At 37.0% G+C, this 12,528-nt stretch overlaps 1 protein-coding gene and 1 non-coding gene across 5 annotated transcripts in view; both read left to right on the top strand.

The window, feature by feature from the left end:
• Positions 1–11,447, top strand: part of HAUS6 (HAUS augmin like complex subunit 6) — a 49,764-nt gene extending 38,317 nt beyond the window's left edge. For all 4 annotated transcript variants that reach the window (NM_001270890.2, NM_017645.5, XM_047423518.1 and 1 more), the window contains 5 exons: positions 1,008–1,074; positions 1,395–1,580; positions 4,365–4,500; positions 5,587–6,627; positions 8,184–11,447. In NM_001270890.2, the coding sequence (NP_001257819.1) occupies positions 1,008–1,074; positions 1,395–1,580; positions 4,365–4,500; positions 5,587–6,627; positions 8,184–8,245 (1,492 nt within the window). In that variant the 3' untranslated portion in view covers positions 8,246–11,447. The remainder of the gene's footprint in view (positions 1–1,007; positions 1,075–1,394; positions 1,581–4,364; positions 4,501–5,586; positions 6,628–8,183) is intronic.
• On the top strand, positions 802–932 carry SCARNA8 (small Cajal body-specific RNA 8). The gene has a single exon (NR_003009.1).
• Positions 11,448–12,528: the final 1,081 nt, after the last annotated feature.

Genomic DNA, 12,528 nt, shown 5'->3' with positions numbered 1-12,528 from the left:
TAACTAGAGTAGAAAAGCTTTAGGCTTTTAACTTTTAAAGGTTTTTAAGACCAAAGTAAAAAAGTTACCATTTCTTTGAAGATTTTAGAATTTAATAACATTTTATAATTAGCATGAAAAGCTGCATAAATTTTAATATTTATCCAAAAGGGCAAGGGAATACAAAAGATTAACAAATACAACAGAATGTGGCAAACTAAAACTCTGACCTTATGACATTACTGTGAAACTGTAACATGTTTGCTATAGAGTAAAATTTAGCATATGAGAAATTGATTTTGGATATGAAGTATCAAGAGAATCTTAAAAATAAGTCTGCTGGGCCAGGTGTGGTGGCTCACACCTGTAATCCTAGGACTTTGGGAGGCCAAGGTGGGCGGATCACCTGAGGTCGGGAGTTTGAGACCAGCCTGACTCACATGGAGAAAGCCCATCTCTACTAAAAAGACAAAATTACTCAGGTGTTGTGGCGCATGCCTGTAATTCCAGCTACTCAGGAGGCTGAGGCAGGAGAATCGCTTGAACCTGGGAGGCGGAGGTCGTGGTGAGCCAAGATCGCGCCATTGCACTCTAGCCTGGGCAACAAGAGCGAAACTCCGTCTCAAAAAAAAAAAAAATAAAATAAAGGATCTGCTACAAAGAAACTGTGATTTGGAACCTGTGACATTGTAATAATGCAGTTCTAGTTAATTGAATCTGTTTTTAACCTGTGTTCAAGTTGTGGAGTATTCATTAAGTCACTTAACTCTTTCAAATCAAAATATTGTTGACTCAGTATGTGGTAAGTAAAGTCTTCATAATTGGGAGGCTGATACACAAATTGGGCTGAAATACTGCTCTACTTGTCACCATGCCTCCCTAGAATAAACTGCCTTTTGATGACCGGGACGAATTGAGTGAAATCGTAACGGACAGATACGGGGCAGACAGATTTTAGAATAGACTCGTAAAGGGAATGGAATTCTTTTCTCCTTATAACTTGGATTTGTTGTCTTTTTTCCTTTTAGCCCTGCCTCTTTCTTGTCGCAGTCAGTTTCATCATCAGATAGAAACAGTGTTACAGTACTTGAAAAGGTATATTTTAAAATAAGTCTCAATTAATTCTGGACCATACTAAATTATAAAATATTATTTATTTTTGTTGATACCACAGTTAAATTTAATTTCTAATTTCACATTTTCTACTATTTGTACATTTTGTACCATATCTACTTATATTCCTTATTGCTAAGTGGGAATATTGGAATTAGTTAATTCTGCCAGTGACATACAATTTCACAATAGTATTAACAACCTTTTATAGGTTCATGATAACCAGTGAACTGCTAATGAAGACAGCTTCAGGATCAGCCATGATTATTAAGGGTTTAACATTACATATCTGTCTTCTTCAGGACACAAAGATGGGAACTCCCAAAGAAAAAAATGAAGCAATTTCTAAGAAAATACCAGAATTTGAAGTGGAAAATTCTCCATTATCAGATGTTGCAAAGAATACAGAGAGTAGTGCATTTGGAGGGTCTTTGCCAGCTAAAAAAAGTGATCCATTTCAAAAAGAGCAAGATCATCTGGTAGAAGAGGTGAGAAAAGACTGTAATGAGTATACTTAAATATCAGTTATTGGATGGGCACAGTGGCCCATGTCTGTAATCCCAACACTTGGGGAGGTTTCGGCAAGAGGAACATTTGAGCCCAGAAGTTCGAGACCAGCATGGGCAACATGGCGAAACCCATCTCTACAAAAAAATTAAAAAAACAGTTGAGCATGGGGGCGTGTCTCTGAAGTCCCAGCTACTTACTGGTGAGGCTGAGGTGGAGGATCACTTAAAGCCCAGGAGACTGAGGCTGCAGTGAGCTGTGTTTGCATCACTGCACTCCAGCCTGAGTGACAGACTGAGACCCTGTTTCAAAAAACAAAATCAAAAACAAATATTTTCTCAATGGTGTTGGGATCCTAAGCGAAATACAGTTAATTATTGATTACCTCGGGTAATATGGGATAAAGAAGGCTACAGATAATAAAAATTATGGTTAAAGCAAAATTGGTCTTCCTCAAAAGTGAGAATAGATTTAATATAAACTTATTTAGCTAATATTACATCTGTGGTTTAGAACCCACTTCCCATTCTTTAAACATTACCTGAAAGTATACAAATGATACATTTGAGAAATTTTGGAGATTAACCATTACATGGTTAGATAAATGTACCCAGTGTTTATACTATATTAAAATACTTTTGTCAGTGTTGTTTGTTGCTTAGCTGAGTTTCCTCTTTTTTTTGAATATTAGAACACACTGCAATATCATATCATTATCACTGAGCATAGGTTTTGTTCTTTTTGCTGTCTAAAATATTTCAGAAGTGATTAGATGCATTGTTGTTCATGAACTTGATTTTCCTAACCAGCCCCCTCCCTTAACACTATTCTGCTTTTTACTGGTAAGTGACCACACAATACTACCATTGCTCAGCATTACAGAACTCATTTCACTCAAGCTAAATTCTGAAGTTATTTGCTAATGTTATTTTTAGTACATGTTTTCCACAACATGCTTTAGCATTGCTTGAATTTGGTTAAGCAGCCAGAAAATCAGTGTTACTTTTTATTCCTGAGACACTGAAAGAAAAATTTGGTTTAGCAGATATTAATTCAGGTATTAGAGTTCCCTCCTTTATTGCATTCCTGATCAAACTAAATGAGCATTGTCCAAATAAGAGAACTGGATGTCAGACACTTTTCTTTTTTCTTTTAAGACAGGGTCTTGTTCTGTCACCCAAGCTGGAGTGCAGTTGTGTAATTATAGCTCACTGTAACTTCGAACTTCTGAGCTCAAGGGATCCTTCCACCTCAGCCTTCCAAACAGCTACGACTATAGGCGTGCACCACTTTGCCTGGCTAAGTTTTTTATTTTTTGTAGAGTTGGGAACTCACTCTTTTGCCCAGGTTGGTCTCGAACCCGTAGCCTGAAGTGATCTTCTAGCTTTGGCCTCCCAAAGTGCTGGGATTACAGGCATGAGCCACCATGCCTGACTGGATGTCAGTTATTTTTCTTGTTTGTAACATGAGGTCTAGTTTCATGGTCCCTAAGTACTTTTAAATCTCTAAAGTTCTATTGTTTCTCTTCATTGACTCTACACTAAAGTAAAGATGGTTAGTATTTTTTACTTTCCTAATTTTGAAAGGAAAAACACATTTTCTGATTAAAAGAATTTATATTAGCAATGGGATCAGATAGAAGAGGAAAGTCTTAAAATTTCATGAAGCTCTGAAAGTAAAATTAATTTTCTTTAAGAGTGTTTATGACAGGGGATATTTAGTGTTTTAATTCCCAGAAGCACTCTGTTTTCTTGAGGGAGAAGCCCTTTTTTTCCATGGGCCAATTTTATTTGTATTTTTAAATTTTATTTATGTTATTTTTTTGAGACGGAGTTTTGCACTTGTTGCCCAGGCTGGGGTGCAATGGCACGATCTTGGCTCACCGCAGCCTCCGCCTCCCGGGTTCAAGCGATTCTCCTGCTGCAGCCTACCGAGTAGCTGGAATTACAGGCATGCGCCACCATGCCCAGCTAATTTTGTATTTTTAGTAGAGATGGGGTTTCTCCATGTTGTTGGTCAGGCTGGTCTTGAACTCCTGACCTGAAGTGATCCGACCGTCTCGGCCTCCCAAAGTGCTGGGATTACAGGCGTGAGCCACCATGCCCGGCCTCTTGGGTCAATTTAATTATGGCTTCAAGAAGTTTATTTTTTAGTGATGTCGGGGGCAGAGTTTTTAATTTGCATGTTTTTTCTTTTTCGGTTTTATTGATATTTAATAGAGAGCACTATTTTGATATTGGATACTTTTTTAGTTTTAGAATGTACGTATGCTTTTTTCAGTAATGAAGATGTGATAATAGGTTTCTGGTGAAGAGGTATGTTGTCAGAATGATTCTGTTTCTTAATAGAGATGTCACTGTCCAAATTGATTATAATTGAGAAGAGTCTGCTTCCTTTAAAACTAGTCATTTTAGTGAATACAGAGCTGTCAAGCTCACAGTTGTGGCAGACAGCAGCTTAGGTCACTGCACAACTGGAACTGCCTCTAAATCTTCCCAGCATAAAGATTCTTATCTATTCTCTCCTTTATAATGGGATATCCATTTAAGATGAGGAAATACTTCAGTGTTTCATTTCACTTTACAGGATTGTACCTGGATGGTCTATACAGAGTTGTTGGGGAACTTCTTTGTTGCTTATTTTTGTGTTGTCTGCAATGGGAGGGGCTGCTGACTGTGAAGTGCTTATTATCCTTATCAGGGGTTTTGTTGCATTCTACCAATGGGCTTGGTAATCTTTGCTTTACTTTTTCTTTTCTGTTTTAGGTTGCCAGAGCAGTTTTATCTGATTCACCACAGCTCTCTGAAGGAAAAGAAATAAAATTAGAGGAACTAATTGACTCTCTGGGTTCTAACCCCTTCTTAACAAGGAATCAGATTCCCCGTACTCCAGAAAACTTGAGTAAGTTAATAATGCTTTCTGTTACTTTTTTCTTTCATCGACATAACCACTGTTAGAACCATGGCCTGACAGATCTTTTTAGCTGAGTTGCCAAAGGCTGTTTATTTATGCTGTTGTAATCGACGTACTAAGTGTGGGCATTCTCACATAACAGTCTTTTAGCAGTATTTTGTGCCTTCAGTGTACTCAATATACAGAGATATAAAATTTTGATAATGTACAATTTTGTCTTTGTTGTTATACTTTGCTTTTATCTAGAAAGATCTTATTTGAGCATTTAAAAAAAAAAATCTCTTGCCTCCTGGTCTGACCTGTGATCTACATATTTATAGAGTACATAGGCTGTGTTCTGCCAGTCATCAACCAGAAGCATCAGCCATAAACCATGTGTGCGGAGGTCTTTACCCCTCCCAAATGAGTCAAACTGCCCAATACCTTTTTTCCTATAACCTGTAATTTGTGTAGGCAAAGTTCTGATATTGGTGTCCTTAGGTAGGCACATCATCTTGGTTGAGTAATTAAATAATTTCTGTTTTGCTGCTGATTTAATTCAGTTTGAACTGAGCCACAGCCTAGGTCAGCAAACTATAGCCTATGAACCAAATTTGGCCCCACCTTGTGTGTTTTTGTATATAAAATTGTATTGAACATAAGCATATTCATTTGTTGACATTGTTTATGGCTACTTTCATGCTATCATGGCAGAGTTAAGTAGTTGACAGAATGGATGGCCTGCAAAGCCTAAAATATTGCTATCTGGCCCTTATAGAAAATGTTTGCCAAACTGTGGCTTAGATGGACAAGAAAAGGTCTTTTTAATACATGTAATTCATATGTGCTGTGTAAAATTGGATGCATATTTCAGGAACAGCTGTCTTTATATGTGTTTATTTGTGCGAGCAGTTGGAGATGGGGTTCTTCGATGTTGGGATTTGTTATATTGTGGAGGCTTATCATCCAACCAGTATATTTATGGAACATGTACTGAGTCAGGAGCTTTATCTTCAGTGTTAGAAATAAAATGATTCATTGCATGCTCTATGTTTGGGAATGTTAGTAAACTGTGTTTTTCTCCCCTTTAATTAGTAACTGAAATTAGGAGCTCATGGAGAAAAGCTATTGAAATGGAAGAAAACAGAACTAAAGAACCAATTCAAATGGATGCTGAACATAGAGAAGTATTGCCAGAATCATTACCTGTGTTGCACAATCAAAGAGAATTTAGCATGGCTGATTTTCTCTTAGAAACCACTGTATCAGATTTTGGCCAGTCTCATTTGACTGAAGAGAAAGTTATTTCAGATTGCGAGTGTGTGCCTCAGAAACATGTGCTGACCAGTCACATAGATGAACCACCAACACAAAATCAGTCAGATTTGTTAAATAAGAAAGTAATTTGCAAGCAAGATTTGGAATGTTTAGCCTTCACCAAGCTTTCAGAAACTAGCCGAATGGAGACATTCTCCCCTGCTGTCGGCAATAGGATAGATGTGATGGGTGGCAGTGAAGAGGAGTTTATGAAAATATTGGACCACTTAGAAGTTTCTTGTAACAAACCTTCCACAAATAAAACTATGTTGTGGAATTCTTTTCAGATATCAAGTGGAATTAGTTCTAAGAGTTTTAAAGATAATGATTTTGGCATATTACACGAAACTCTCCCGGAAGAAGTTGGTCATCTAAGTTTTAATAGTTCCAGTAGTTCAGAGGCCAATTTTAAACTGGAGCCAAATAGTCCTATGCATGGTGGCACTCTTCTAGAAGATGTTGTGGGAGGGAGACAGACTACTCCAGAATCAGACTTTAATTTACAGGCTCTTCGCAGTAGATACGAGGCTCTGAAGAAATCTCTTTCCAAGAAAAGGGAAGAATCTTACCTCTCGAATTCCCAAACACCCGAAAGACACAAACCAGAATTGAGCCCTACTCCCCAAAATGTACAAACAGATGATACGCTTAACTTTTTGGACACCTGTGATTTGCATACTGAGCATATAAAGCCATCTTTACGCACGTCCATCGGTGAAAGAAAACGGTCTCTTTCACCACTAATTAAGTTTTCTCCAGTGGAACAAAGATTGAGAACCACAATAGCATGTAGTCTTGGAGAACTACCTAATTTAAAGGGTAAGGTTTAAATAGACCTATGCATATTCACCTGTTGAAGTTTTCTCTCAACTTTTGATAAAACCAGTACACAAAGAATGCTGCATGACCTTTATTGTTAATGTGCTCCCCCTTCCTTCATTTAGGATGAGGGGAATGATCCCTCACTGGACAGGTCCTTTCAGAATCTCTGTTTATGTATATATAGTTACAATTGATTTGAGACAGGGGTGGGAAAAAAAAGCCCCCCCAATCTGAAGCTTACAGGTTTTATAATACAAATGACTGAAAAGTAAATGTCATCAAAATCTTGCCCAGTGGAAGGTGGTTTTTAAACACTTGAGAAACCCAATTTTAAATATCATCACTATAATGGTGTAATATCTGGGGGTGGGGTGTAGAAATAAAAGAAGCCAGGTCAGTGTATTAGTTTCCTAGGGCTGCCATAACAAAGCACCATCAAGTGGGTGGCTTAGAACAGCAGAAATTTATTGTCTCTGGAGACAGTAAGTTCTAGAGGCTAGATGTCCAAAATCAAGGTGTTGACAGGGCCATGTTCCCTCTGAAGCCACTAGAAGAGGATCCTTCTTTGCCTCTTCTAGCCTCTGGTAGCACCAGGCATTCCTTGGCTTGTGGCAGTGTAATTCTAATCTTTGCCTCCATTGTCACATGGTATTCTTCCCTTGTGTGTGTATTGTCTTATAAGGACACAGTCATATTAGCTAATTAATGGGTCACCCTACTCCAGTATGACCTCATCTTACTTAGCTAATTATATCTGTAATGACCACATTTCCAAATAAGGTCACATTCTGAGGTACTGGGGTTAGAACTTCAACATATGTTTTTGGGGGTATTCAGTTCATAACAGTTAGTATTAATAATTATTGAAGCTAGGTGATGGATATATTGAGTTAATCACAGTTCTCTTCACTTTTGTATGTTTGAATGTTTTCCTCATAAAAGGTTAAAAAAATTGCTCTTGTAGCTCATTAAGAGAGATAAGGATCTGGTGATACAGATTCATTACATACTCTGATTTGCCCATAATAGTTATACACTGCCATATTGAAAAGTATTTGGCTGGGCACAGTGGCTCACACCTGCAATCCCAGCACTTTGGGAGTCCGAGATGGGAGGATCACTTGAACCCAGGAGTTCGAGACTAGCCTCAGCAACACAGGGAGACTATGTCTCTACAAAAAATTAAACAATTAGCTGGGCACGTTGGCGCATGCCTGTGATCCCAGGTACACAGGAGGCTGAGGTGGGAGGATTGCTTGGGCCTGGGAGTTTGAGGCTGAAGTGAGCTGCGATCGTGCCACTGCACTCCAGCCTGGGTGACAGAGCAAGACCCTGTCGCAGAAAAAAGAAAAAAAAAAAAGTACTCTGGGAGGAATGTATTGATCTCTGGAGAAAGAGGGTACTTTGGTGAGAATAATAATAATTTTATCATAATCAAGTATTTGCAAAGCTATGAACCTTTTTTGTATTGACTAAAATTTGCTATTGCTTGGAATCTATTGTTTATTTTTCTTTGTAATGTTTGCTTATACTTTTTTAAAATCAATTTGCAGAAGAAGACATTTTGAATAAGAGCCTTGATGCAAAAGAACCACCGTCTGACTTGACAAGATGAAGACGTACCCATTTAATATAACTATGATGCACTTAAATTGAAGCTATGCCACAGGATAGAAAATGAATTACAACTTAAATACATGTTGGAAGTGTAACACTGTTTTTCAAGGTTTAAAAAAATTCCTAATGCCTTTTAGCCTTCTTTAATATTTTTAGGTAAGGAAAGTATGTTTGGATTTTTTCCTCTTTGTAGGTATATGAGATTGAAATGTGAAGTATTTGGACAACAAACGTCAAGCAATGGGAAGCCATTTTGATTTCTTGAGTAATCTTGTAAGCATTAAGTGAATGACAAAGTAGTAGTGTAACTTATTTCTTATGTTATAACTTCAGTCAATTAATATAAGGATAGTTTTTGTTGTATGTTCACTAAATGGTTAATATAATAGCCATTGAATATACTAATCTTTCATCTTAGAGAACTATACAACTTTTATTGTTTCTTAATGGAACATTCTGGCTAACCAGAAAAAGTGAGAAAAGTAGTACCTTGGGATGTGTAGTCAAGATGACAAATTTTAAGACTGGAAAAGCTCTAAACAGGCTTAATGATTCTTCAGGTAGAATGATCCTGAGAAGTGATGTTTGATGGAATAAAGTGCATGTGATGATTAAGTGAAGACTGGGGCAGAATGATTTAAAAAAAGGAAAAAGATGGAAGATGAGTAGACACTTGCAAGGAACACTGTCAAACTATAAATCCATTCAGTGGGTTGTATAACATTTATATTTAGTCTAATTTAGACTTTGATAATTTAATGCTACTTTTATATTTTAACAAAAATATAAATTAAAATTTTCATTAGTCTGTTTTGTTGTTGGGTTTTTTTGTGAGGTACTCCCTGTTGGGGGAAAGGAACAAGGAACAACCATCAGAATCCCCCAGTCCCTACAGAATAGCCTCACAGTAACTTGAGAAAACTGAACTTGGGGTTAAATAACTTGTCACACTTGCAGTCTCCTGCCTCACTCCTTCAGGTGCCCTGCCTAGAAAAAGACTTGTGTCTAGCATCCAAGTGAACACATACTATTGCCCTCTGTGAACCAGGAGGAATGGAACAGGCAATGGAAGGGTGATAGTACCTACAATACCCTTTGTAGACCCCATCTCACTACCATCAAAATCTTGTCCACTAGCCCCCAAAAAACTGGCAAGGAAAGAAGGTGGAGGGGAAATTTATGGAAGTAGATGGCTTAATAGTTATTTCTTTTATCTTGGGCTGCCTTTCTCTAAGTTGGTTGTCCTGTCCCAGTGTGAAGACCCATCTTTTTGTGAGAAAAGACAAAAGAAAGCACATGTAACTACCTTCTTTGCAATGGAAAAGGAGAAAGAAAAAATCTTCTCCTAAGTTGCTGTTTTCTTTTATTAGTTAATAAAACAAATCAGGGACTATGCAGGTCTATGGGGAAACCTTTAGTCTGCTTTAAGAAAACTCAGTATCTGAAAATCTTAACTTAGCATGTGATACTGTCTTATCAGCATCTGCAGAAGTGCCAAAGCCACTGCTAGACACTTAATGTGTATTATTTCATTTAATTATATTTTAAATGTGCTTCCTTGGTAATTCTTAAGCTCGAGAAAGAGTTTGAGAACTGCTGCTAGGAAATAGAGATTCACATTTAACCCTGTGGTACTTTTAAGAAGCAGGTACGTTGTTGCATATATACTTGGGTAGAGATTGGTAACTATCTGATAGGGAAGCTCAAGTTGGCCACCCAAGTCTGAGAAACCCTTAATTACTGAGAATCAAAAGAGCAGAATGTCTGTAGACATTTTGGATTTGTAAAAATCACATTGTTGAGTTATACCTGTGATGGGCTGAAAGTTTTTGGCATTCTTTCCTGTTCTTCATATGCCAGTACCATAAACAAAAAGTATCTCAGATCTGTCACTTTCTTCTCCTAAACCAATGTGATGGCAGCTTTTTGCCTTCAGCCTTTTCCCTATCCAGTATCTCCTACATAGTTACCTTTTGATCTTAAGGAACTGTTTTGATTGGGTCACTTCCTTGCCTAAAATTCCATTGATTGTTCATTGTTAATTCTAAAATAGAGTTCAAATTTAAAGGCATGTAAGTTCCCCTGTAACGGATTTCCTCTACTCCCCCTTCCGCTGTAATCTCCCATTTTTTTACTGAAATGCTTCAGTGAGCATGGGTCTTTAGAGGTCTTGATATACAATTTTCCTGAAGCAGGAATACCTTGCTTTCCTCTACTAGTTTACCACAATTACAGCTCTCTTTTAAGCCTCAGAAAAAAATCTCACTTCCGTCTTGAAGTCTTAATCCACGCTTTTTATATCCATGTGCCTACTCCTTCTCTGAAATCTCCTATGGTTTATCTTTTTATTCATTTAATATCCCACGAATTGATTTTATTATATATTTTTTATGGTTGCATGTGGTCTTTCTAGTTATAGCAATATACACATACATGCATAAATACATATACACCTATGTAAATGTGTGTTGGGAGTATGTATTCACACACATACATATACCCCAAGGCCATGTGTCATCTTTATCAATATTTAAGTTTTGGAATTGTTTTGTTTGCCTCCTATATCATGGAATAAATGGTAAAGAGGGCTAATTTATTACTCTAAGTGGATTTCTTATTACATTAATATCAGACATATAGAATGTACTTTGTTTTACTATTTGTAAGATACAAAGGTATATAAACTGACATACATCAGCTTGAAACCTGAGATAATGCTAAAATGTTCTAATTATTTTAAATGTTTAAAGAGGACAACCATGTAATGTTGCTAAACATGAAAAATGTCATCAAGTGGAATAAAGAATAGCTGAAGTTAACATTTGGGGGAAATTGAGCTGAAAACAAAAATATGAGTATTTTGATACCTTTTCTTTACCATGAGACTCTTGACTATGAAGTCAAATTTATCTAAAGGAAAAACAGGAATTCTGGAGACCTGTGTAAAAGCAGACTATTATCTTCCTACTGTGAGAGTACTAAAATTAAAATACGTTTAATGACGTTTTCCTCAATGTAAAAGCATTGAAGTAAATGTTTCTTTTATGTTGCAGATACATAGTTGCTCTAGAGATCACCTTTTTCTTTATGCATTGTGAATAGCAGTCTGCATCCTAAGTTTAAAATATTTGAGAATCCTCTATGGGACTCTCTGTAAATGTTTTAAATACTGTTGTTTTCAATAAATATTTTATACTATCTGGCTCTGGAATTTCCTATATAATCTCAAAAAGAACTATGCCCCTGCAAATCATAAGATGATCACATGTAAAGTTATATTAATAACCTGATCAACAAATTTGAGAGGTTCAGTGATTCAGGTCAACATATTTTGTTACTTCCATTTTAATTACTAGATTTACAGTATATAGTATTTTAAAATGAATTTTTAAGGTTATATCTATACTGTCAGTTTACACATCTGGAGTCTTTATACTAATGTATTGCCAATGGCCCTAATTAGGTAATTTTTATAAATTACACCTGAATAGCTTCTTACTCTTCATGAGTAGCGTCATCCACATCTGCTGCTAGAAAGGGTTTAATGAACATTAAATAATTTTATAAAGCCTTAGAAATTCTAAAGCCCTATCACTTATGTTTACTGTCCATACAAAGATAGCACCTCGAGTGTAAAATGAAAGGCTTAGAGTTGATCACAGGTCTCTTCGCTCTAAAATACTTAGATTTCTTTTCAAACAATCCTTAAGGCAGCTATTGCTGGAAGTGGAATGGGACATTTTAGATCTGTTTGTCCATTTTACTACACCACATTGCCAATCCAAATTAGGAACCTCAGAATCCTTCCTTAAAAGTAGGTGATCTAAGAATCTGTTTCAGTATTATCCAATTTCTAGAGAAATACAAATGGGAAAGTGATCTTGCCCAAAATGAGTGAAACTCTATTCCTTGAGGGAGGTCACTTAGCTTCCTGGGCTTCAGCTTACCCACTATGTAAATTTGGAATTATATGAAGGAATAATCTACATTTAAAAAGCTAGGACCCATCAGTGCTGATATGTGCAAGTTATAAGAACAAAAAAAATTGCCGGGTGCAGTGGCTTATGGCTGTAATCCAGCACTTTGGGAGGCTGAGATGGGTGGATCACTTGAGGTCGGGAGTTCCAGACCAGCCTGGCCAAAGTGGTGAAACCCCGTCTCTACTAAAAAATACCAAAAATGAGCTGGGCGTGGTGGCACATGCCTGTAGTCCCAGCTACTTGGGAGGCTGAGGCAGGAGAATGGCTTGAACCTGGGAGGCGGAGGTTGCAGTGAGATCGC

Source organism: Homo sapiens, chromosome 9 (genome assembly GCF_000001405.40).
Source record: "Homo sapiens chromosome 9, GRCh38.p14 Primary Assembly".
Lineage (NCBI taxonomy): Eukaryota > Metazoa > Chordata > Mammalia > Primates > Hominidae > Homo > Homo sapiens.
This window is presented reverse-complemented; position numbering and strand designations above follow the sequence as displayed.